Raw genomic sequence first — 24,400 nt, forward strand, 5'->3', positions numbered from 1 at the left:
TTTATGTAGCATTCATGCGGAATTTATTATACAAAGAATTTTATTCAATTAAACTTGAAATGCATCTGGATTCTTAAAGGTTCAGTAGTGATCACTGGGACAGGGCGATCATAAAACTGAATGGGCTGTCGGAAGGTGTCGAGGCAGCAGCAAGGGTGACATTGCCACTGACGGGGGCTTCCGAACTGGGGACGTTTGTCATTGGGATGTGTTACAAGTTCGGGCTGTGGAAATTACTCGATGAAAAACGCACATTAACGATAGCCATGAAATATTAGTTAAGGGAAACTAGGTTGAGAAATGAGACAGCAGGATCTATCAGAGCCTGGCATTGTTCGCCACAGCCCAGGTAGTGATTAAAACGACTGTCAAGCGGCAGTGGGTGGGAGCTGAGGAGCACGGGGCTGTGAGTGACGAGGCCGCGTCCGGGGCTCACATCTTGGCACTGACTCCCCAGGACAACTTGGTTCCCCACCCAATGCCTCCTTCCAGGGCTGCTATGGGGTTCAAATGAGATAATGTCTGTGGAACACTTGGCTCAGGGCACTGCACATAGCAAGCCCTTCCACAGTGCGGGCTGGTGTCACTGTGACTGTGGGCTTCTCTCTGACACAAGAGCCAACTGCCAGCTTGTCTCTGGAAATGACACTAAACACCCCATTCCAGGGAGCCTGACCTGGAGGCGGAGGAGGCATTTTCATGGGTGCAAAATGTAAGGAAGTGCCCACAAACTCAGGGATCGAGTAGTATTTGTGTGCAATATTTTCCAAAATCAAATTATGAAAAAAATCTACGATAAGCAAGGGATCACGACTTTAAATAAAAACAGGCTGCTGTTTGTTTCAAAACCCCGTGTTCCCGTGCAATGGGACTGATTGTTTCTGAGAGTTGCCAGTGGTGTGCAAACACTGGGGCAGCGGGGGCTTCGCAGTCACATTTCCTGACTGTAGGGCTTTCATTAACTTTTCCCACCTGGTTCAAAATATGGGAGGACATTTGCTCAGTGTACAGAGGGGTACACATCTTTTCTTTTGCCTCGGGCTCTTGATAGAGCTTTTGAAAGGCACTGCAGAAGAGCAAATGTTTTAAACACCCCATCCTTCCAGCCCCCAAAGCAAGCTTTCTCCATTTTTCCCAGGTTGGTAGCACAGGAGAGAAACACCTGCTGAGTGGTGGCATCTGCCCTGCACCCAGGTGGTTTCTCAGAGAAGTGTTTGCTGGTGAACCGGGAGACAGATACAGAGGCGGGGGTCTGAGAACGCGACTGTTAACATCCAGGCTGTGACACCCGGTCCTGGAAGGACAGGACTTGGCAACAGGTGAACGGCCTTGTTTCAAAGATTGTCACTTTAGGATGTTGTATTTACTCAAAAAGCTTTCCTTATCCTTTGGAGGCTGTGCTTTCCCATGGCTAGGCATGCAGGGCTGCTGTGTTATTTTATATATATATATATATTCCAGGAAGATTTTGAGATTTTGAGGTGTAGACAGAATTGAGTGATTCGCTGCAAGCTCTTTGAACATACTCCCTGACCGAGCCTTAGTGATTGCGTTTTCAGGGTTTTTTTTTTTTTTTTTTTTTTTTTGTGACGGAGTCTCACTCTATCAGCCAGGCTGGAGTGTCGTGTCACGATCTTGGCTCACTGCAGCCTCTGCCTCGTAGGTTCAAGTGATTCTCCTGCCTCAGCCTCCTGAATAGCTGGGATTACAGGCACCCGCCACCATGCCCAGCTAATTTTTTTTTTTTTTTTTTTTTTTTAGCAGAAATGGGGTTTTACCATGTTGACCAGGCTGGTCTCAAACTCCTGACCTCAGGTGATCTGCCTGCCTCGGCCTCCCAAAGTCCGTTTTCAGCTCTGTTTTGCAAACACTGAGCACCGACTCCGTACCAGACCTGGTAGTGACGATGGGGGCAGGGAGGCACGGAACAAAGCCACCTCCTGGAAGGCATTCACACACTCCTGGTCATCTGCACCTCACCCACCCTGCCCAAGGCTCAAGAGGGCCATCACAGCCTGTCAGCAATGAAAGGACCCAGAAGACACAAGTGAATATACCTGGCCCTCCTGCAAACTTTGCAGGCCAGGTGGTAAGAATGAAGGCAAAAATATGCACGTGACTAAGAAGGTAATGTTTGCTGACTTGCCAGCAAGAAAGATGGCCGGAAAGACCAGCTGTCCCGAGCCTAGCGCGGTGGCCCATGCTAAGCAGCCACTCAGTCAATATGTGATGGCTGAATGGAGTTCGCCAGGCATTTCAGCCCTGAAACTGGACAAGAGCCTGCCCTTCCAAAGTCATTTCCTGCAATTAGCAGCCTGCAGTCTTTAGGTTCTTGGGGCTGCCTCTTCTGCCCTTCATAAATATTGCCTTTCCCAAGGACACTGCTGGCACTGGCAGTGTCGTTTCATAGCAGGAGGGAGCAGCAGTGACAACTGAAATAAATACAGCCGTGGCACCGATCTCAGAGGCATAAGCCAGCCAAGTGCAACATCGGAGAAATCAGTCTGGTGGATGTCAGCCTTGCTGGAAACTGACAACCTCATTTTCTCAAGCTGAAGATGCTGCACCGCAGACCCTTGACTCAGTCCAACCAGACAGGGAATGTTCACCTTCAAGTGGTAGTGTTGTTCTCATCAGCATCTCCATCCCTTTCAGAGGGGGTCCTCTAAGCTGCACCCCCATCACACACACTTCAATCTAAGCCAGGAGTTTCTGAGCCTCGCCTGTCAATCTGCAGCTATCCTTCCCCCACACTTTGGCGGTGATGGGTGGCTCAGAGGTGACTAAACTTCCAAATCTTGTCCGCCTTCCCCTTTACAAATGTGACATTTAAAGCACCTTTGGCACAGGTAAATCACAATTACATTTTCAAGGGCCTCTGGTCCCATTCCAAATCTGTGAACAACCTGAGCTGGCAGTGGGAGGGCTCTCTCTCACACACACACACACACACACACACACACACACACACACACACACGGCTCCAGCCTTTCCAACTTTTATTCCTTTTCCGCACAGCTCCTTCTCATTGCAGCAATCACTTTACCTGTCTTTCCTGCAATGCCAATTCATTCCCACATCCCTCCAAGACCCAGGAGAGCTTGGGGAAGCAGGGTCAGGGACAGAATCCCCAAAGGGTCACAGTCCCTTGAGGAAGGTGGCAAGAGGTGTAGATCAAAGCTGAGCTGGGACAAAAGGCTGCTTTGAGCCTCTCTGGGTGAGCTCTTCAGGAACCAGGACCCCAGAAGGGCAAGCTCCTCTCTCCACGGCCATCGCCATGGAGGGATCCTCCAAGCTCCCACTTTCTGTGATTTCAGAGTCCCTCAGACTCGGCCGATGGGTCATTTTTCATGTATATTTTCTCTTGATTCCCCTCCTTCATGGCTGCATATCTGGCTAGCGTGAAGAGATAGTCACTGAGTCTGGAGGGGCAGAGAGAGAGAAGCAAACAGAATGGTTTGAAATGAGAGATCAACGCTAACTGGGTCTTCCCATATCCGCCTACAAGGAGGAGATATAAATGACGCACTCTGGGCACATTGTGCAGGGAGGGCGGGGGCCCAGCCATCTTGCACTTAATGGATGGCACACGAGGCCAGCTGCTGTGAATGCCAAGGACTCTACTCCAGTGTCAAGGCTGGGGCCATTCCTGCAGGATGAGGCCATTGCCCCGGCCCTACCCCATGGGGCAGATGACTTTGGACTCCTCTCTGAGCCGGTTTTTGCACCTTTGAGTGATCAGGGCTCAGGTGCGTGATCAGTTTGGGTGTTTCCCAAACTACAGTGTGCACAGGCATCACCAGGGGATCTCAGCGACGTGCAGATTCTGACTCAGGAGGGCTGGGCTGGGCTGGGCCCGGGGCTCTGCAGGTCTAGTTCCTGCCCTGGCTGATGCTGACACTGCTGGACTAGGCCCTACTGACATTCTGGATCATTCTGTGTGTTCGGGGCTGTCCTGTGCATCCTGTGCAGTGTAGGATGCTGACAGCACCTTTGGTCTCCACCCACCAGGTGCCAGTGGCACCCCTGCACCCAGTGTGACAACTAGTAATGCCTCCAAACATCGCCAAAGGTACCGGGTGAGAAGCACAGGCTGGAGCACTCTAGAGACCAGAGCCCAGCCCCTTTCCCGCCTCCTCCTTTGAACCAACAGCAATGGTCATCTGTGCATGAGGCCTTCTGCAGGGGCAGCAGTGGAGGGAACTAGAGGACGACGCCACGGGCCCCAGAAGGCGCTTACGCTGTCAGCTCTTCTGCCTTCTGCTGTCCGCACCTTTTGCTGTTTCACTCCCAGCACGAGGCACCACGTTCCTCCCTCTCTCTCTGCCCCAGTCTTGCCCTCAGAGGCCAGCTCCACACCACATCCTCCTGAGTCCTCCCCTGACTCAGGCCCCCTGGGCCCCACGGCTGGCTCTCAGGAAGAGCGAAGGGGAGGTTGTTCAGGGTATTTTACCCCTGGGCCGCATGCTCCTGGAGGGCAGTGGTGTGCCTGTTGCTTGTTGGCTCTGTGAAGCCTCACTGAGGAGATGAAATGGCCTGTCCCGTGCAATGCTATGGGACCGCAGGGTTGCTGCTTTGAAGGTGAAGTAGACCTGCTCCTCACTCCCGGCGAAACCCCCCTCCCAGAAGGAAAGGAGCTGCTCAGGACCCGTCAAAGCGCCATGTCTCTGGGAGGAGTGGCCACAGTCAAGGGCCTGAGGTCACTTTCTAGACACCCAGGACAGCTCCTGGGGTGCAGACCTGCTCCCCCAGCTCTCTACCTGCCCCCAGGCTCTGGCCTTGCCCACACTGATGCCACAGAAGCCAGGGCTGGGGCAGGAACCCGCAGAGCAGGCTTTGGGCCAGGTGTGGCTCCAGCCTCATGGGCCGGCCGCGAGGCAGAGGAAGCCCTCCCTGGGCTAGCCTGGCTCACTGGGGCCTGCATGGGGTCCCCTGAGCGCAGCTTGGCCCGGCTCTCTTGTTGGTTCATGCTGCCGCAGGCCCTCTCGGGGACAGGAAACTGGCTGAGAGAGGGCCTGAAGCCTGGCTCCCTGGTCAGTCACCACCGAGAGGCCTCCCCTGAGCACCCAGCCTCTAAGAACGCCCTTTGCCCCCGCAATGCCACTTTGCACTTAGGTTTTTCTTCCTGGTTTTTACAGCAGCCTCTCCCAATAAGATCTAAATCTTATCGGGACAGGCACAGGGCCCACCTTGTTCACCACTGCCTCCCCTGTGCCCGGCGTGGTGCCTGGCACAGAGCAGATGTTCATAAACACTAAGGGAATGAAGGAGGGGGTGCGGGAATGCTGCCCCACACTGCTTCCCGGACCGCTGCACCGCTGCTACTTCCCACAGATGAGCCTCGGCTTTCAGAGAGGAACCCCCAGGTTCCACGCGAGTACCTGTTTAAGAACTTGGCCACGTTCGCATCGGTCTCTCCCATCTGGACAAGAGGCACCACACTAGAAAGGGAGGAGACACTGAGTCACGTGACATTATGGGGCTCAACAGGCTCTGACCTGGGCCTAAACCTTGAGCAGCATTTCACATCCTGCCACCGCTCAACCTGAACCTGCACAGGCTCGGCCGGCAGTGGAGATGACAAATCCATCACAGGTGGGTTTAAACAGGCCATCGGCCCCCTTTCCACCAGCACATCGCAGGACGGCCTGGCCAAGGAGGGATCAAGGATGGCTGGTGAGTTGAGGGAGCCACCTGGCCTACACCACACCCCAGCCAGCCAGCTTTTGTACCACTGGACCTGGGTCTGGGTGGGGTGAAGTTGGGGTGGTCTGCCTCTAGCCTTCAAAGGAAGTGGGGGCCTGACCCTTAATTCCCAATGGGCTAAACTCTAAGCCCCTTGTACATCATGACTTAGAACAACTTCACAGGGGAGAAAAAGACCCAGGCAGACCAAGCTCCTGATTCCGCAGGATTCTGGATTCCTGGGGTCCATGCCAGTCTATTTGCAGATACATTAGACACTGGACGGCCATCTGCTGGGCACCAGTGTGGTGGCGGGCCCTTGCCGAGCCTTTCCCAGGTATCACCCTGTGGCATACCCCTTGTTGGCAAGCCAGCTACCCAAAGCCCAGCCTCAGGGTTCTCATCCCCACCCAAAGCCATGCACCCGGCTAGCGGCCCAGGAGGGTGTGCACCCAGGCCTGTCACAGAGCTCCAGGCTGTCTCTAGTGGGCACCGCATGCTCAGCGAGGAGCTTCCTCACCCGAGGTGCCCCAGGTGTGTGTCCCCACCTCAGGACAATCTGCACCTTGCCACTGCCATGGCTGCGTAACTCTCTGCTGCATGGAGGACCTATCAGCTGCTCCGCCATGCCTGTTTTCGGGGCCTTTGGGTTGTTTCCAGTTTCTTGCTATTATGAGCACTGCTGATGGATGGCTTTGTACAAATGACAGTTTTTTCTTTTGAAGCCAAAGCTTGTTCTGTTACCTGGGATCTCTAAGGAGCTATCTGGGCCCGAGAGCCTTTCATAAAGAACAAAACCTTAGTGGTGTGGGACCGTGGAAGAGCTCAGGCTTGGCCCAGACAGACGTGGACTCCAATCTGGATTCTGCTATCAACCATGTGGGGGACCGTGACCATGGTGTCATTTCTCTGAGCCACAGCTTCCTGACTCCTGTAAAACAGAGGCCACCACCACCTCTCTCCCAGGGCTATCAACAAGGAGTAAATGAAATTATGAACATAAAGTGCCAGTCCATTGGATCAAAGTAGGGCTTGCTTTCTCTTCTCTGTAAAGCTGGCTGGCAGCCTGGTCTCTGAGTGGTGTAGATAGAGACTTTGCTCATTTTCTTCTAAAGATTCCTTGAAAAGGCTGTCAGTAGCTTTGGAGGAGGTGGTGGCTAGTCTGCTGACAACGTCCACCTGGGCTCCCCACAGCCATGCAGGCCTTTCAGGAGCCTTATGCACCCAGCAGCCAGCAGGGTCCTTTCATGTCTACCCCTGTCCCCAAGATGGCTGAGGCTGAGAACCCAGCAATAACTTCCTGCTGTTCTCAGAATACAGGGCTCACAAACAAGGTGCAATTGTGTTGTCTGATAGTCTATTTGGTCACATGTCACTGTCTCCACTTCACAACATGGTGCTCTGAGGACAGGGACTTGGTCTGTCCTGGTCCCCGTCTGGCACAGTGGAGGGGCCCAGACAAGGTCTGTTGATGTGTGGCTGGATGGCTCAGAGATGGCCCTGCTGTACCTGCCTCCTGCCCGCTGTGCAGAGGCCCCTCTCCCTCTCCCCATCTCCGTCCTCCTCTCCCTCTCCCTCCCCCCTCCCCCTTGTTCCTCTCCCTCTCCCTTGGGCCCTCTCCCTCTCTCCAGCCCTCTTACCGTCTCTCGGCCCGGCGGCACACGGCCCGGCAGAAATGCAGCGCCGAGCTGATCTTGCCTCCCGACTGAAAGGAGAAAGGGACATTGCCTGAGCAGGGTGGGAAAGGTGTGCCCACTGCGGACAGGAGCTCCTCTGAAGTCCAGCCCTGCCCCCCAAACCGGGCAGTGTTCTGCCTCCAGGAGCCCTGCCACGGCACACCCACCGGGCACGCTGCTCCAGAGTGGGCAGGGCTGGGAGGGACCGGTGAGGACCTGGAGGGACTTGGGGAACTGGAGGACAGCGTCTGTCACTGTGAAAAGAGGGATTTATTCAGAGCCCATGTGTGTCTGTCACTGAACCTGCCTGCAGCCGCCCCCGGTTAAGCCTGCCCAGTACCTACAGGCAGGATGAAGGCCGTGAGTGGTGGGAGCTGGCTGGTGTACTTGTCGATCCACTGCTCCAGCTCCAGGATGGGCCCCGCCTTGAACGTGGTATACTCTGAGGAGCCAAGGAGCAGAGGGAACTGCCATGAGGCCATCACCCACCAGACCATGGCGGGAACCACCCCCGCCGCCCTTCCACCTGGGTGTCCCGCAGACTGCTTCCACTGGCTCAGAAGGTACCTTCCCTCCCAGGAGCTACGAGCAAGGCTAACTGACCCACCCGTGGGTCCCTGGGGGCCTGGGATCCCAGATGGTGACCCTAGGAGAGTCCCCTGACCCTAGGGCCCTCTGAACACCCACAGGAGTTTGAGAATTACTTAAGTGAGCCTCCCGGGCCGAGGAGCATGGTGTCGCCAGGGCCGAGCCGACGTCCTGCAATGTGCACTGGATCTGGGGGGCGACAGAAAGTGACAGTCAAGATCTATGTGAGATGGGCTGGACAGAGACAATGTGCAGAGGCGCCACCTAATACGCCGGCAAAGCCTGTGCCAGCTAGCTCATGAAGGGCTGTGATATGGTTTGGCAATGTGTCCCCATCCAAATCTCATGTTAAATTGTGATCCCCAGAGTTGGAGGTGGGGCCTGGTGGGAGGTGATTGGATCATTGGGGTAGTTTTGAATGGTTTAGCCCCAGCCCCCTAGTGCTGTCTTGTGATAGAGTTCTCATGAGATGTGGTTGTTTGAAAGTGTGTAGCACCTCCCTCTTCACACTCTCTCTCTCCTATCAGCCATGTGAAGATGTACCTGCTTCCCCTTTGCCTTCCGCCATGACTGTAGGTTTCCTGAGGCCTCCCCAGAAGCAGAAGCCTGTACAGCCCACAAAACCATGTGCAGATTAAACTTCTTTTCTTTATAAATTATCCGGTCTCAGGTAGTTCTTTATAGCAGTGCGAGAACAGACTAATACAGGCTATCAGACCTTGAACTGGCTGACATTTGAAAGCAAACTCTGAACTTTCAGCACAACATCTTCGTTGGACACCCAGCCCTGCTGAGGGGGACCTGGTGTGGCTCTTTTGCAGTCTGAGGGAGGAAAAGGCTCCCATGGGGGCAGCAGCTGGGTTAAGCAGATGACACGCATCACACACCCAGGGACAGTCAAGAGGAACCGTCTGGGCTCTGTCCACGTCTCCTGTGCACCTAGGCCCTGTGAGGTTTTCTTCTTTTCTCAACATTTGACAGCTTTGGTTTTCTAACCTGTAACAGTTGGGCCAAGAGGTCAAATGTGACAGTGCTTTCTAAACTCTAAAGGACAAGGAGCTTGGAGAATGTAGTCAGCCGAGGCGTGTGGGGATTCTGGGAGCAGGAAGCCTGGCTGGGTGAGGCCTGTGCTCTGTCCAGGTGGGGAGTGGGTTTGCTTGGAACAGAAGTGGTCTGTTAAGGTCTGCTGCAGGACTCCAGGCCCCTGCATGACAAATGTCCAACAGCTCTCATGCATGTGAAGACCACAAGTACCACCTCTGACTTTGTGCCCAGCCAGGGTCCACTCAAGCTGGATGGTGGGCTACCAGGAGGGTGAAGGTCTGCGACTTCTGACCTCTCCTAAGATGGCCACTGTGACAGCATTCAAGAAGCAGGCCATGGTGTGTGAGAGCAGAGGCTGCCCATCCAGCACTGGGCTGGAACCTTCCCAGGGCTTCTGACCAGCAGACCTTGGGCAAGCTGCTTCCCTGCTTGGGGTCTCTGCACTTTCACAGTCAAAGCGGGAGTGATAATACTACCCACTTGGTTGGCCACGTGCAGCGTGTACCCCAAGGGCTGGGGAGAAATGGCACCAGTTTGGGAATCAGATTCCAGCTCTACTGATGCCTGGCTGTGGGGGCTGGGCAAGTCAGCCTTTCTGAGGCTCAGTTTGGCTCCCTATAAGCTGTGGACATTAACTTCCACCTCACGGGTGTCTGTGAGGGTGAAATGGGTGATATGAGGAAAGCAGTGGCATTGCTGCCCGGCCTCATCCACAGGCCCTGCGAGCGGCTACCAGGCCAGGCGGGGCTCCCAGGTGAACCAGACACTGTCCCCGCCCTCACAGTGCCAAGGCTGGGTGGGAGGTGGATGGGTGAACAGGTTAACACCCCTTGTGATGCCTGTGGTTAGAGGATGTGGAAATCCAGGAGCAGTGCCTAACCCAGCTGGAGATTAGGTGGCCAGGGAAGGCCCTTGAGGAGGTGACGTGACAGCTGCGACCCAACGCGTACAGCAGACAGAAATGACCGCTGCTACCGCGGCTCCTCAGGAGGTTGAAAGCCTTCCTCCACCACACAGAATGTTCTGGCAGCTGAGGCTTCCTCCTGCAGCCACAGCCTGTGGCAGCCCCACCTACTACCCTCCGTCTGTTCCCAGGGGCCTGAGCAGGCTCCAGCCTGGGCTTCAGAACGGAAGTGGGAAGGGCTGACCCTGCGGGGAGCGGTTTCTGGGGACCTGGGTCCATGTGGAGGTGGAAAGTGCGGCACCCTGGGCATTCTGGGGTGGTGACCCTGTCTCCGTGCTTGAAGTTCTCTGCGTGGGTCAGAGGCCCCCTCCTTCTTAGGGAACAGAACAGTGACACTGTGACGCATGAGTCCCACGGGCTGAGGGCTCACTGCAGCTAGGCTTCCCAGGTTCCCTCTGCATCGGGCATGAGCGAGGCACTTCACACCGGCTTTCTCAGCCTCGGTGCTATTGCCATTCAAGGCCGGGTCATTCTTCGTTGACGGGGGCTGTCCCCTGCATTGCAGGATATTTACATGCCAGCAACACCCCCAACACCCAGATGTGGCAACCAAAAATGTCTCCAGATATTGCTCAGCGGGCCCTGAGGGGCAGAATGGCCCTGGGTTGAGAACCGTTGCATTTTAAATTCCCTCATTTAGTACAATCCTCCCCACTCGCCTGTGAAGGAAGATTATATGTCTCCAGTTGTTTGTTTTGGAGACAGAGGTTTTTTTTTTTTTTTTTTTTTAAAGACAGGATCCCACTCTGTTGCCCAGGCTACAGTGCAGTGGTGTAATCACATCTCACTGCAGCCTCAACCTGTAAGACTCAAGCGATTCTCCCACCTCAGCCTTGTAAGTTGCTGGGACTATGGGTGCATGCCACCATACTTGGCTAATTTTTAATTTTTTTTTTTTTTTGTAGAGACAGGGTCTCCCTAAGTTGCCCAGGCTGGTCTTGAACTCCTGGCTTGAAGTGATGCTCCCACCTTGGCCGCCCAAAGTGCTGGGATTACAGGCTTAATTGAACCATGGTGCTCGGCCTGAGACAGGGTCTCAATCTCTTGCCCAGGCAGGAGTGCAGTGGCATGATCACAGCTCACTGCAGCCTTGACCTCCTGGGCTCAAGAGATCCTCCTACCTCAGTTTCCTGAGTAGCTAAGGCTACAGGCATTCACCACTATGCCTGGCTAATTTTCAAATATTTTGTAGAGTCAGGGTCTTATTATGTTACCTAGGCTCCTGGCCTCAAGTGATCTTCCTGCCTCAGTCTCCCAAGTAGCTGAGATTGCAGGTGTGAGCCACCATACCTGGCCTGTCCGCATTTTACAGATGAAGAAATGGAGCTCACAGAGGGAGAGTAACTAGCCCCAGGTGACACAAAGAGTAACTGGTGGCTGGATGCTGAGTCCCGTGATGGCCACCGGGGCTGAAGATTCCCAGCTTGGGTGAGATGGTGTTACTCACTTTCTGAAGCTCTTCGGCAAATGTATGGCCCTTTTCTGTGACTAATTCCAGAGCAAACCTATGAAGAAAAAGGAAAAAGAATTTGCCTGTAATGTAATGTCCCTAGGCCCTGTCTTGCCATAAACAATAGATTCTCAGGTGGCAGGCCATTTAGTTAATTTAGCTATAATAGCCATGTTATTTTTCTTGCTAACAATAAGAACATTATAGCCTTCCATTTGGGGGCGGTGGTATTTGTTTCTTGAAATGCCTTTTCGGATGCTCATTATTTCCAGTCAAGAATTCCTTTTGAACAGCTACTCTGGCCAGGCCCAGGAGAGTCAGTGGTGAACAGAAGCTGACCCAGGCTCTCTCCAGCAAGTTGGTGACAGGGTGAGCAGTGACAGTCTCAAGTGCTGGATCCTGAGCTCTGACCCGCAGCCCTGTGGTGATAGGTGAGTGGGAACCAGACAGACCCAGGTGCAAATTCTGCACCGCTGCTGAGTGTCTCTGGGACTTCAGGCAAAGCTTACACCTTCATGTTCAGGAGCGTGATATTCAGGAGTGTGATAGGTAATCAGATTAGACATACTCCTGAATGTGAAGGTGCAAACTGAGATCAGTGCTCTGAAGGAAAGAGCAATAGAAGCCTAATCTGACCTTGGCTAGAGAGGCAGGGAGGGCTTCCTGGAGGAGGTGATGCTGGAGGGGAGACTTTGAAGGCTGGGGAGGACTTCCCTCATAAGGCAGAGAAAGCAAACTGCCCCCCGACACAGGTCAGGACCCTGGCTCTGCCTCCCTCAGAACCCTGCACTTCCCTCCTGCACCAGTCAGTGCCCCAGCAGGAGACAGTGGCGCGCTGCAGGGATTCCTGGAGGAGGGCTTTGGGAAGGGACAATTCACAGAGGTATGGGCAGAGTTTCAGGGAAATGCAGGAGCCTGAAGGGCAAGGGTCGGGGAAGGTACAACTCACCCTGGAGGGAGCTGAATTCTGGAGTCACTCAGCAGGGAGGGAGTTAGGTAGGGAGCCCAGCTGCCACCAGAGCCATGCACCACTGGGGAACAGGGTCACACACACTCATGAGCTCTCTGCACTCACTCTCCTATCACCTACTGGTGCCTCCCACTGGCTGGACCCACCTGAATGCCAGAAGACCAACGAATCGAGGTGGCACAGCCACCAGGTGATAAGGTCAGCCTCCCATGCATAAAGAGAAGGTGAAGAGAAGGGATTTGAAAGGGCCAATGGAGAATATCCAGCCCATCTTCCTGGCACATCTTACAGTTAGAACTAAACACACCAGTATGTGATTCCCGTCTGGTGTGTCTTCCCCTCTGGACCAAAGGGAGGGCTGTGCAGGCTGGGACACAGTCTGTCTCCATCATAGCGGATGCCCCATGCCTGCCTCACAGGAGGTGTGCAGAAGTACCTGCTTGCCGAGGGATGCCCCGTGACCAGGCCAGTGGCAGGCCCCACCCTGGGCACTTGCCCCAAGCCTGCTCCCACCCTCGTAGCTGCCCAGTGAGTGCTGCCTGCTCCCTGCACTCTGCAGCTCAGGAAGGTGGGGCTGAGGTTCTGCTCCCTGCACTCTGCAGCTCAGGAAGGCGGGGCTGAGGTTCTCTGTTGAGCAGCGCCTCGCACTGCAGATGCTTGGTCAATATCTGACCAAGGAAGAATCCACAACTGAGGTTTCTCCAACCTCCCGCTCCTCCTCAACTGAGAGACGATGGCTCGTGTTTTAGAGCTCATTAGAATAGCTGATGCGAGAACTGGCCTTTTCTCCCTTTGCCCACTTGGTCTTGTGTCTGCCCTCTTCTGGACCCCCTCCCACACACACCAAGGGGTTTGTTTGCCTTCTCTACCCGGCTGGCTGACTATCTGTACCTCCCATTATCTGTCCCGAAAATCTCACCTAGTCAGGCCCGCCATGGAGAAATGGTAGCCAGGAACAGGTAAGTGTTAAGAATAGTAATAATGAGGAGACTCGCTTGAACCCGGGAGGCAGAGGTTGCAGTGAGCCGAGATCACACCATTGCACTCCAGTCTGGGCAACAAGCGCGAAACTCCGTCTCGGAAAAAAAAAAAAAAGAAGAGTGATAATAGCTAACATTATTTTTACTTGTGCTAGGCACTGTCCTCAGGGTGAAACATGGAATCATCTCATTTAAGCCCCACAAGAACAGTGAGATGGGAATTATCATGATGACTACTTGACAGAACCGTAAACTGAGGCTCACAGAGGCCACGTGATTTACCTGACGTCCCAGAGACAATCAGCAGCGGTGCTGAAAATTTGCAGCTGGGTCTGTCTGGCTCCCATGCACCTATAACCCCAGGGCCCCGGGGTCAGATTTCAGGATCCAGCACCTGAGACTGTTGCTGCTCCCCCTGTCACCAGCCTGTAGGGCATGCTGGGCAGACTGTGCTCCTGCTTGCAAATATTTGCTGCCCCTCCTACCCCGCTGATGTCAGGCATGTGCACGTGACAGGCTCTGGCCGCTGAAATGTGAATAAATGGAAGGCATCATTCCCAAGAAAGGTTTGTCTTTTGGAGACAGAGTCGTACTCTGTCACCCAGACTGGAGTGCAGTGGTGCGATCATGGCTCACTGCAGCCTCAACCTCCCAGACTCAAGTGATCCTCCTGCCTCAGCTTTCTGAGTAGCTGGGACTACAGGTGTGCACCACCACGCCTGGCTAATTTTTTAACTTTTCTTTTTAGTAGAGATGAAGTCTTGCTATGTTGCTCAGGCTGGTCTCAAACTCCTGAGCTCAAGTGATTCTCCCACCTCGGCCTCCCAAAGCGCTGGGATTAGACATGTGAGCCGCTGCACCTAGTCATTTTTTTTTCAACTTTTATTTACCAACAAAGTTTAGTCTCCATAAAGACTGTCAAAAACTGCCAATGTTGACTATATTTCAAGTCATCATGGTGGGGTAGTGGGAAAAGTTTTCAATCAGCAATAATCACATCTTGGGTAAACCTCACTGGCGACAACACTGACACTGCACAATCCCCTGGCAGCGTCAGGAGCCAATGTGAGCTTCACCATGACCTCTTTTCCCTCTGCCACAATGACTGATAATTGCCCCAGGCAGCAGCTGTACTAGCAGCCTGTGTCCCAGAATGAAGGCCGCATGGAGCCAAAGAATATACCCTGTGATGGGCATGAAGTGGGAACAGCAAGTCCATCTTTGGTGTCATAAGTCAGGAGATTTTGGGGTTGTCTGTGATCACAGCATGACCTGGCCCATCCTGATCTGGTCCATCCTTGAGTCCACCTTCTAAACTTTGGCTTATGTAAAAAACAACAGTCACAAAAGGGATCACATTGGATGTACTGTGCATTATACTAACTCACCTCTTTCACTCAGTATACTAACCTCAGTGGCACACACAGGCTCACCTGAAAAGTGAGGGATGAGAGGGAGGCAGCTTCACATGGCATGGGCCAGAGGCCAGCGCAGGCACAGGCAGGGCCAGAAGGGAAAGGAGTCTGCAGCCCCACAGCCTTGTGGAGCTGACCAGCCTGTGCTTCAGGGCTGAGGAAAGTTCAATAAGGGCTGACAACCTCCGAGGCTGCTGCCCAGCATGCGTGAGAGCTTCACATTCATTACGTTTACTCATACTCGACTCAAACGCAACCTCAAGGCCAATCCTGTCCCCCTTACCCAATAGCTGAACTTAATTCATCTGTAGTTCCCACGGCTTCAAACACTTGGTCATCTTTGGGTCTCCTTTCTCCTGTGAAGGTACTAGAAAACCCTGTGGAAAAAAATGTTTAGCCACCCAAATTAAGATTCTGTTTTCCTGATATGCTGTTTTTTTTTTTTTAAACTTTCAAAGATTTTAAAGAACTTTCTCTTTTTTGAACAGTCACTCTGTCATCCAGGCTGGAGTACAGCGGCGTGATCTTGGCTCACTGCAGCCTCCCCCTCCCAGGTTCAAGTGATTCTCATGCCTCAGTCTCCCAAGTAGCTGGGATTACAAGTGTGTACCACCATGCCCGGCTAATTTTTGTATTTTTAGTAGAGACGGGTTTTCGCCCATGTTGGCCGAGCTAGTCTTGAACTCCTGGTCTCAAGTGATTCACCCGCCTCAGCCTCCCAAAGTGCTGAGATTACAGGCATGAGCCACCGTACCACCCCTTAAAGAACTTTCAACTTGAAATATAGCATATACACAGAAAAGTGCTCAAATCGTAAGTGTGCAAGTTGGTGAATTACTACTAACTGAATATACCTCCTTGATCAGCACCTAGCTTCATAAACAGAACATGAGCAACACCCTGAAAGCCCCCATGTAACCCCTTTTAGTTGCCACTCCCCAAGGGTTAGCCACTATGCTCACTTCTTTCCTGATGTGCTTTTCAACTTAAAAACCACATACTAACCATCCTGATAAAGAAATACAACACGTTCTATATTTTATATCATATATACATTACCATTATATTTCACATGAAGTCAAAGTCCTCTGTGCCTCTGCCTAGCTCACAGTCCCGCCTTTCTCCCCCAACCTCTGAGAAAGTGAAAACTGCCCCTGACAGTTTGGAGCTGGCTTTCGCTATCGGGCAGGCTTTGGGGTTGCCAGGTGCCGGCCTGGCACTCACAGGTAGACTGTGGTGTTCTGCTGAACACAAACCATTTCACAGAAAACCATCAGACAGGCCACTCTATGACTATGACGGTTCGAGACCAAGACAAGGCCACTGCGGAAGAACGTCTGAGCACAGACGACTGTGTCCAAACTCCAAAAGATGACCAAACCTCCCCCTTCCCTGGCTAATGTGAGTGACTGCTGCATCTTTATCCATTACAGCGTTAGCACCTCTTTGTCCCTTCTGTCTTCTAGAAACAAATTATTAACATACCCAATTACAGGCCAGGTGCAGTGGCTCACACTGTAATCCCAGGACTTTGGGAGGCCATGGTGGGCAGATCACTTGAGGCCAGGAGTTCGAGACTAGCCTGGCCAACATGGCAAATCCCCGTCTCTACTAAAAACAGAAAAAATTAGTTGGGCATGGTGATGCATGCCTGTAGTCCCAGCTATTCGCGAGGCTGAGGCATAAGAATTGCTTGAACCCAGGAGGTTGCAGTGAGCTGAGATCGTGCCACTGCACTCCAGCCTGGGCAACAGAACTAGACCCTGTCTCAAAAAACAAAAAAAGATACCCAGTGACAGAAACAGCCCTGCTTCCTAACAGGATTCAATCCAGAACAAAGCCCCACTTCCTTGTAACCACCCAACACAAGCCCAACCCTACAATAAGTCCTTTCCAACATCCTCTTCCTTCTTTTTAATTGTGGTAACAGATGATACATAACAGAAATTTTACCATTTTGACCCTTCTTAAGTTTACCATTCAGTGGCACTGAGTATGTCCCGTACATGCTTTTATACTTTTACTATACAAGTATATATCCAAAAAACAATACATACTAGTGGTCTGCATGCTTTTGTACTACAAAAAATGGTATACTGTCTTGGTGCGGTAGCTCATGCCTCCTGTAATCCCAGCATTTTGGGAGGCTGAGCTGGGAGGATACCTTGAGCCTAGCAGTTCAAGACCAGCCTGGGCAACACAGCAAGACCTCATCTCTACAAAAAAAATTAAAAAGTATTAGCCAGGCATGGCGATGTGTGCCTGTTGTCCCAGATACTCAGAAGGCTGAGGTGGGAGGATTGCTTGAGTCTGAAAGGTGGAGGCTGTTGTGAGCCATGACTGAGCCACTGCACTCCAGCCTGGGTGACAGAGTAAAACCCTGTATCAAAAAAAAAAAAAAAAAAGGATCATAGCAACGCATTCTTCTGCATCTTACTTTTTTCTATATAACATGTTCTAGCATTTTAAAAACTATTAAAGTAATATATACTCATTATAAAAAATAATAAAATAGAATAAAAGTATGTAAATAGTGAAAGTCCTTCTGTTTGTTCCCCTCTCACAACTTAATCTCTCTCCCAGAACAGTCCCAGGTGTAACCTTTCAGACTATTCTACACACACCTGAACACACATATATGTACATGCTTATCCAGACAGATTCAGGCTTTTGTCATTTAATATCTCTTGGGTGTTTTTCATTTCACATTACATTTTTGTAACATATTTTGAGATCTGTCAAATATCATACTTTTTTTTTCTGAGACTTTTTTTTTTTCTGAGATGGAGTCTTGCTCTGTCACCCAGGCTGGAGTGCAGTGGCATGATCTTGGCTCACTGCAACCTCTGCCTCCCGAGTTCAAGCAATTCTCCTGCCTCAGCCTCCCAAGTAGCTGCTGGGGTTACAGGCATGGACCACCATACTCAGCTAATTTTTGTATTTTTAGTAGAGATGGGGTTTCACCACATTGGCCAGGCTAGTCTCAAATTCCTGGCCTCAGATGATTAGCCCAACAGGGCCTCCCAAAGTGCCGGGATTACAGGCATGAGCCACCGCGCCTGGTATATTATACTTTAAAGTGGCTGCAAAGAATTTGGAAGAACTTTAAAATGGTGTATGCCATGAGTATTTCTTTGCATTTTTCACCTGTCCCCACCCTACCTTTGTCTCCCGTTTTGGTGTAAATCTTGGGGATCCTGGGTGTCTTCGAGGAAGGCTGTGGCCTAATGAGAAATAAACATCAGTATCTGGTGAGTGGGGATGGCTTACACAGAGGGTCAGCTCCTTCAGAGGGTCCCAGCTTGCTGCTTGTAACCTCAGAGGCAGCACTTACCCCTTACTGCTTAGATGGTCATCTCTTGTTGATTTCTTTCCCCTAGATCCTTTCTAATAGCAAACATTTTGTGGGCAAGACCAGAGCTGGATGACAGAGTGTGTAGAGTAGCTGATGTAATGCCTTGCTCAACAAAGATGCTCAATAAATATTTGCTGAAGGACTTGATTGATCCTTTGCCATTGTCCCTGCACTGTGCCAAGTAGTTTACAGGCATTATCTTCTGGAATTATCCTGGAATCTTTCCACAACCCCAAAGGTAGCCAACACCTATTCTCTTCATTTTACTGAGGAGGAAACTATGGCTCAGATGAGACACCTTCCTAGACCATCCAAGAAGAGGCAGGAGTGGGATGCCCAAAACTGTCCTAGACCAGAGCACAAACTGTAACTTCTATCCTACCGAAATTATTTATTTATTTATTATTATTATTATTATTTTGAGATGGGGTCTCACTCTGTCACCCAGGCTGAAATGCAGTTGCACGATCTAGGCTCACTGCAACCTCTGCCTCCCAGGCTCAAACAATCCTCCCACCTCAGCCTCCCGAGCAGCTGGGAGCACGGGTGTATACCACCACACCCAGCTAATTTTTTTTTTTTTTTTTTTTTGGTAGAGACGGGTTTCACCATGTTGCTCAGGCTGGTTTTGAACTCCTGAGCTCAAGCAATACTCCTGCCTCAAACTCCCAAAGTGTTGTGATTACAGGCGTGAGCCACCGTATCTGGCCTATGATTATTTTGTTCACAGACAGGGTCTTGCTCTGTTGCCTAAGCTGGAATGCAGTGCAGTGGCATGATCATAGCTCACTGCAGCCTTGAACTCCTGAGCTCAAGTGATCCTCTGCCTCAGCCTCCCAAGTAGCTAGGACTCTTAACTCTATCCTACCCAAATTTTTATCTTATACTCCACCAACTCAGGGCCTCTTGCAGGAAAAGAAACCTGAGCCACTTCCATAGTATGAGGCTTCGAGTGTACTCAGAGATGAAGAATTGCCAAAATACAGCTCAAAAAGTGGCATTTTCAAAAAACAATGTAAACAACTCAAGGACATAGCTCAAAATTAAAATGTGACATTACAAGCCCATTCGAAGGTTAATTTCCTGGATCTGTGAACTAAATTAATCCATTATTAATCCACGGTACTCTAGAGGTTCTGAGGTCTGGGTTGAGGTGCAAGTTTCAAGGAATATGAGGAAAGCCATCTTTAGAAGGTGCTGGTGTATCTGGGACCTGGGGAATAAACTGCTTTGGAGATTGGTCACAATCTGAGTCGAGAGCCCTCCTGGCCCACATGGGATATGCCCTGCCCTGCCCGATGATAGCGGGACTTCATTGGGACTTAGGCAAAGACTACCTGGTCTCTGGCGCCCACGTGGCCCACGTTGCCATGGTGACGTCAGAACAGCGTGGAGACGTCACCTGACGGTTGCCGCGGTGACCTCACGGCGGTGTGACGTACCCATGGCGACGACACCACGATTCACGGCAGGTGTTCGAGTTGCCCTTCCCGCCAGCCACTCACCTGTCCCCGTCTTCCACGCCCTGAGGGCCGCGGCTCTGGAAACGGGGATACAGGAGCCTGGCGGCGCCGAAGCACCCGCGCAGGCCAAGACGGCTCCCCAGGCCAAGACGGCTCCCCAGGCCGCACACAGCCATGAGCCAGGCTGCTTGACGGGACCTGACCCCGCCAGGTTCCCGTCCAGTCCGCGGGGTGACTCCACCCACAGCTGGCCGCGCCACCGCTCAGGTTTCAATTTTTATTGGTTCGCAGTTCTCACCCCAGGGCGGGACACTCCCAGGGACTTGTTTCCCATTGGTTTAACGGAAGGAGCGGGGCGGGAAAACCCGTGTCGGCTTGGCTGCAACACCTATTGACCAATGTTCAAGCCTATTGGTAAAGGTACTCCGGGCTCGCGCGCTCTGATTGGCTGGCCTGAAGTACAACGCCTCCTCCCCTTGAGGCACGGGCGCTCTGGGTTGTGGGAGTTGGGGAGCTGCTCCGGCTTCGGCGCGGAGGGGCGGCGGCCGGGGAGGCGGCGGCGGCGGCAGGTGAGAGGCCGGGGTCGGGCGGCCGGGCGGCGCGAGGTCCTAGACCCAGGACGACGCTGAGCCAGGCGTCCAGCTTCTGTGGCTCAGTTTACCCAGCTCTGAGAGTCTTGCCCCGAGGGATCGGCGACCTCAATCTGACAGTCGTGATTTTGAGCTTGACAAGCAAGGGGATTCCCCGCTCTGAGCCTCAGTTTTTCTAAGAAATGGGGATCACGATAGTACTTAGCTCATAGTACACCTGAATCTTAGCGTAAGGTAATCTACGTAAAGCCTTAAGCGGAGGATAATTTTGCGTTATGTATAAAAGTGTAAATTGCACACACCTATAGACCCTGCAAGCTCCTTTCTAGGACTCTGTCCTGCAGAAATACTCATTTAAGTGTGCAAAACGAGGCGTACTGGGTGTTTTCTGCAGCCTTGTTTATAATTGTGACACATTGGAAACAGCCTAAATGTCCAGCAAAGAGTTCTTTCTGCTCCATGATTTCATGTAATTTCTACCTTTAATAGTAGTAGTTGTAAAAGCTGAAACGAAGAACAGAGCCAGTAATAAGTAGCTCTCAGTAATTGAATGATTAGTAGGTGCCAGACACCGCCAAGTGTTTCCCTTGCGTTAATTTAACCTTCCTAACATCCACCGAGGTAGGTACGGTTATTTTCTCTCCATATAACGTGTGGGGAAACCGAGGTTCTTAGCCATTTAAGTGAGTTAACTAAGATGACATCACTGGGGAGTGGAAGAGCTGGCATTTGAACCCAGATCTGTTGGATGTGTCCAGTTGACTCCTGCATTGCCTTTCTGGTACGTAGCAAGTGCTGGACGGTAACTACCTTTTTTGTTATTATGATGGGCTTGAACTAGGTGTTCTAAGATCTCTTCCTGCTGGTTCTGACATCTAGAGATCTTTGCTCTTCTCATTGGCTTTCCCTTTTAGGATTCCCAGGAGCCATGTTGTCAGAAGTCCTACTGGTGTCTGCTCCGGGGAAAGTCATCCTTCATGGAGAACATGCCGTGGTACATGGCAAGGTACAAAGCCGTTAGAGCCTTTAAGGATTGGGTACCCCTTCTCCCTGATGCTAATTTTGTAAGAAGGTAAAAGGACACCCTGAGGCACAGCTTGGGAGCAGATCAGAGAGATCAGGTTCTCCCCAGCCAGGCAAGGAAAAGATTTCTTATGCCCACTGAAGGGATTCTTGGGCCTCGCTCGGTATGATAGCAAAAAGATGATTATAATATAAAGCCCTGTGAGTGGAATGAGATCACCTAGGAGTGAGCTTTGATGCAGAAGGAAAGAGGTTTGAGAACTGAGCTCCGGGGCACTAAGACATTTAGAAGTTGGAAGGATGATCTAGCAAAGGAGTTGAAAACATCCATTATCTCATTTTACCCTTACAGCTACCCCCAAGGCATACCCTTTTATTATCCTATTTTACAAATGTGCAAACTGAGGCTTAGGAGAGAAGTGGTAACTTGATCCAAGTCCTATATACCTTGGTAGAGCTTGGTGTGAACCTAAGTCTGTCTGAAACCACCTCTGCTGCACTCTGCTTTTTTTTTTTTTTCCTGAGACAGTCTTGCTCTGTCACCGGAGTGCAATCTTGCGATCATGGCTCACTGCAGCCTCCAACCTCAGCCTCCCAAGTAGCTGGGACCACAGGTGTGTACCACCATGCCCCACTAATTTTTTTCTTTTATTTTTCTGTAGAGACGTGGTCTGACACTACGCTGGTCTCAAACTCCTGGGCTCAAGTGATCCTCTTGCCTTGGCCTCCCAAAGTGCTGGGATTACAGATATGAGCCACCACACCTGGCTTCTCACTGCTATTCTTTATGTTCTTATATTTCTCATTGAAAACATGGTGATTATGGGGAAGTGATTCCTTGGTATTGAGAACCTCTGAAATTTTGCAGGCAGAAGGCAAAGTGGATTTTAACTTTTAGCTGATCGATGGTGGCTGTTCCCAGGCTTAGTGGGAGAGCATGCCAAGGTTGATTAGCAGTGTCTGGCAAGGGCATGGCTAGGAGTGGCCTCTGTGCTTATGTTTGCTCTCTTCTTAGCACGTGGGTCCTGGCCCCTTTGCCACTCACCCTCAGGCTTATTGCTTTTGTCATTTATTCTATAGGTAGCACTGGCTGTATCCTTGAACTTGAGAACATTCCTCCGGCTTCAACCCCACAGCAATGGGAAAGTGGACCTCAGCTTACCCAACATTGGTATCAAGCGGGCCTGGGATGTGGCCAGGCTTCAGTCACTGGACACAAGCTTTCTGGGTGAGTGCAAGGAGGAGAAACCAGGTGTGCTAAGAGCCTACAGAGAGGGCAGCTGGCCAGGTATTCTGGGCTGTCCCCAAGGGAGCCAGGGGCCAGCTATTTCCCGGGTGTTTTCTACCCTGACCTCATAAAATTAGCTTCACTCATTTTATTTTTTTAAAATTTATAGGTGTAAAACAATGCATTGGATCTCTGTGGGCTGTTGTGGACAGATCATCAAGGCCTATTGTTGAGTGAAAAAAATGCAAAACAGCAAACATACGTATTTAAGTATAAATATGTGTATAAATGATAGAAAAGGTCTCGGGGGCATAGACATCAGATTGGCAGTGGTGATTAGTTCTCCTGGGAGAGACCTAGGGCCAGAGAGTAGACAAAGTGACACATGTTTTAAATAAGGAGAATATATTGGCATTTTGTATAATTAAAAATTGATAAAAGTAGGCCAGGCACAGTGGCTCATGCCTGTAATTCCAGCACTTTGGGAGGCCAAGGCGGGCGGATCATCTGAGGTCAGGAGTTCGAGACCAGCCTGGCCAACATGTCGAAACCATGTCTCTACTAAAAATACAAAAATTAGCTGGGTGTGGTGGCACACACCTGTAATCTCAGCTACTCAGGAGGCTGAGGTAGGAGAATCGCTTGAACCTGGGAGGCAGAGGTTGCAGTGAGCCAAGATTGCGCCATTGCACTCCAGCCTGGGGGACAGGGCAAGACTCCATCTCAAAAAAAAAAAAAAAAATTTAATAAAAGTACAAGTTACCTATGCTTATTATTGGAAAATATAGTCAATACTGGGACATTGTAATTTTAAAAATCACCTATTATTTCCCTTCTCCTTTCCCTGACCCCAGTAATGACTCTAAGCATTTAGGCATTAATCCTTCTGGGTGATTTTCTGTAGATTGATAGAAAGATTGATAGAGACAGGGAGATATCTTGGTTTTTTAACCAAAATTGGGTCAGGCCATATAAACCATTCAGAAGTACTGATTTTTTCTTTGTGTGTCACGTGTGTGTGCTGATTTTTGACAGCACTGTGAAGATTTCATCCACTCATAAGCAGGCCAGCTTTTTCCATCAGTGGAGTCCCCTGTACCTGCCCCAGAGCTGACGTGTGTTTTCTCTGTTGTCAGTTTACTGTCTGCTCCCTGGGCTGAATGAAGCCTTGCTCTTTGGAACAGTGTTTCTCAGCCAGGATGGGGTAAATGAGAATCTTTTTGGGTTTTTTCCTTACACTGCACCTGAACCCTTGACACCTGCTTCCCATTCCCCATGAGAAACCACAGTCACTCCCATATGCCGTATGGGGATGGAGGAAGAGTTGAAAATTCTCATTTCACTTGTTGAGATGGGGTCTCACTGTGTTGCCCAGGCTGGTCTGGAACTCCTGGGCTCAAGCAGTTTTCCACTTTCCCACCTTGGGCTCCCAAAGTGCTGGGGTTACAGGTGAGAGCCACTGTGCCCAGCCAAAATCCTCATTTTAGAGCAGCCCTTTTTAACTTCATCATATCTTGGAATCACCCAGGAGTTTTTTGTGATGGTGGTGGTGGTTTTTTTTAACCAATACAGATGGATGGGCTCCTGGCTCCGCCCCTCTCTTATTGGGAGTTGGTAGTGGTGGTAGGAGTTTTTGAAAGGGGTTCCTTGGGTGATTCTGGGGACACCTCAGTTAAAAGCCACTCCTTTGGAGCGTGCATCTGAAAACAACCAGCCAGAGCACATGGAACTTGCTTTCCAAGGTGCACAGGGCCACCCAGCCAGACCAGAAATGTCTCCTGAGAACCAGCTGCAACTTGTGTATGTCAGTAGCTTGGGGTGGAAGCAGCCAGGTATGGGGGAACATGTCTCAGACCACTCCAACTCCCTCAGTGAACCTGGGGCAGGTCACTTCATCCTCTGGGCCTCGGAGCAGAGACATGTTTCCTGACTGAGGGCTGCCATGAGGATCCGACGACACTGGAGGCAG

At 51.3% G+C, this 24,400-nt stretch overlaps 2 protein-coding genes and 1 pseudogene across 20 annotated transcripts in view, besides 8 other annotated features; 1 reads left to right on the plus strand and 2 right to left on the minus strand.

Moving 5' to 3' along the window:
- On the minus strand, nt 1-19,790 carry MMAB (metabolism of cobalamin associated B). Of its 5 annotated transcripts, NR_038118.2 has the most exons (10): nt 19,633-19,790; nt 17,935-17,996; nt 15,056-15,149; nt 11,405-11,462; nt 8,066-8,138; nt 7,706-7,803; nt 7,529-7,615; nt 7,326-7,390; nt 5,382-5,441; nt 1-3,422 (listed from the first exon to the last, which is right to left on the minus strand). NR_038118.2 is itself a non-coding variant. In NM_052845.4 (9 exons), exons 1-9 carry the CDS (start codon nt 19,764-19,766, stop codon nt 3,314-3,316), a joined length of 753 nt encoding a protein of 250 aa, NP_443077.1. In that variant the 5' UTR covers nt 19,767-19,790; the 3' UTR covers nt 1-3,313. The 5 variants fall into 5 exon arrangements, 4 of the variants coding, with proteins under 4 accessions (NP_443077.1, XP_011536569.1, XP_047284726.1 ...); NM_052845.4 differs by lacking the exon at nt 7,529-7,615; XM_011538267.4 differs by lacking the exons at nt 15,056-15,149; nt 17,935-17,996; nt 19,633-19,790 and adding exons at nt 14,541-14,679; nt 14,791-15,044.
- Nucleotides 3,924-4,425: an enhancer, noted in NCBI's record as "H3K4me1 hESC enhancer chr12:109995443-109995944 (GRCh37/hg19 assembly coordinates)". NCBI's record gives its function as "activates a minimal SCP1, AML or CMV promoter by ChIP-STARR-seq in naive H9 embryonic stem cells {active_cell/tissue: H9 hESC(naive)}" and the evidence as "EXISTENCE:reporter gene assay evidence [ECO:0000049][PMID:30033119]".
- Nucleotides 7,834-8,333: an enhancer, noted in NCBI's record as "H3K4me1 hESC enhancer chr12:109999353-109999852 (GRCh37/hg19 assembly coordinates)". NCBI's record gives its function as "activates a minimal SCP1, AML or CMV promoter by ChIP-STARR-seq in naive H9 embryonic stem cells {active_cell/tissue: H9 hESC(naive)}" and the evidence as "EXISTENCE:reporter gene assay evidence [ECO:0000049][PMID:30033119]".
- Nucleotides 9,619-10,119: an enhancer, noted in NCBI's record as "H3K4me1 hESC enhancer chr12:110001138-110001638 (GRCh37/hg19 assembly coordinates)". NCBI's record gives its function as "activates a minimal SCP1, AML or CMV promoter by ChIP-STARR-seq in naive H9 embryonic stem cells {active_cell/tissue: H9 hESC(naive)}" and the evidence as "EXISTENCE:reporter gene assay evidence [ECO:0000049][PMID:30033119]".
- On the minus strand, nt 14,261-14,401 carry RNU4-32P (RNA, U4 small nuclear 32, pseudogene; annotated as a pseudogene).
- Nucleotides 19,180-19,681: an enhancer, noted in NCBI's record as "H3K27ac hESC enhancer chr12:110010699-110011200 (GRCh37/hg19 assembly coordinates)". NCBI's record gives its function as "activates a minimal SCP1, AML or CMV promoter by ChIP-STARR-seq in naive H9 embryonic stem cells {active_cell/tissue: H9 hESC(naive)}" and the evidence as "EXISTENCE:reporter gene assay evidence [ECO:0000049][PMID:30033119]".
- MVK (mevalonate kinase) overlaps nt 19,558-24,400 on the plus strand; it is a 24,854-nt gene continuing 20,011 nt past the window's right edge. For 9 of the 15 annotated variants that reach the window (NR_182758.1, NR_182760.1, NR_182759.1 and 6 more), the window contains exons 1-3: nt 20,080-20,159; nt 21,095-21,186; nt 22,284-22,431. Coding sequence is in view for 10 of the 15 variants with exons in the window: in NM_001414512.1 (NP_001401441.1) it covers nt 21,109-21,186; nt 22,284-22,431 (226 nt within the window). In the remaining 5 variants the exon portion in view is untranslated. Of the gene's footprint in view, nt 19,858-20,079; nt 20,962-21,094; nt 21,187-22,283; nt 22,432-24,400 lie in introns of those variants that run through there. The other 6 variants (NM_001414511.1, XM_047428873.1, XM_017019313.3 and 3 more) reach the window with 6 other exon arrangements.
- Nucleotides 19,682-20,181: an enhancer, noted in NCBI's record as "H3K27ac hESC enhancer chr12:110011201-110011700 (GRCh37/hg19 assembly coordinates)". NCBI's record gives its function as "activates a minimal SCP1, AML or CMV promoter by ChIP-STARR-seq in naive H9 embryonic stem cells {active_cell/tissue: H9 hESC(naive)}" and the evidence as "EXISTENCE:reporter gene assay evidence [ECO:0000049][PMID:30033119]".
- Nucleotides 19,682-20,320: a biological region, named in NCBI's record as "H3K27ac hESC enhancer GRCh37_chr12:110011201-110011700".
- Nucleotides 19,941-20,070: a silencer, noted in NCBI's record as "silent region_4840". NCBI's record gives its function as "represses an Ori minimal core promoter by ATAC-STARR-seq in GM12878 lymphoblastoid cells {active_cell/tissue: GM12878}" and the evidence as "EXISTENCE:reporter gene assay evidence [ECO:0000049][PMID:35858748]".
- Nucleotides 20,091-20,320: a silencer, noted in NCBI's record as "silent region_4841". NCBI's record gives its function as "represses an Ori minimal core promoter by ATAC-STARR-seq in GM12878 lymphoblastoid cells {active_cell/tissue: GM12878}" and the evidence as "EXISTENCE:reporter gene assay evidence [ECO:0000049][PMID:35858748]".

Source organism: Homo sapiens, chromosome 12 (genome assembly GCF_000001405.40).
Source record: "Homo sapiens chromosome 12, GRCh38.p14 Primary Assembly".
Classification (NCBI taxonomy): Eukaryota; Metazoa; Chordata; class Mammalia; order Primates; family Hominidae; genus Homo; species Homo sapiens.

Excerpts from the sequence above, each read along its gene's own strand:
- MMAB (NM_052845.4), bottom strand. The coding sequence starts at position 19,766 with ATGGCTGTGTGCGGCCTGGGGAGCCGTCTTGGCCTGGGGAGCCGTCTT. Across the intron at positions 7,804-8,065 it reads GGCCCGGGAGGCTCACTTAA|AGTATACCACGTTCAAGGCG; the intron begins GTAATTCTCAAA and ends TTGGCTCCTCAG. Across the intron at positions 5,442-7,325 it reads TGCCGCCGGGCCGAGAGACG|TGTGGTGCCTCTTGTCCAGA; the intron begins GTAAGAGGGCTG and ends CTCCCTTTCTAG.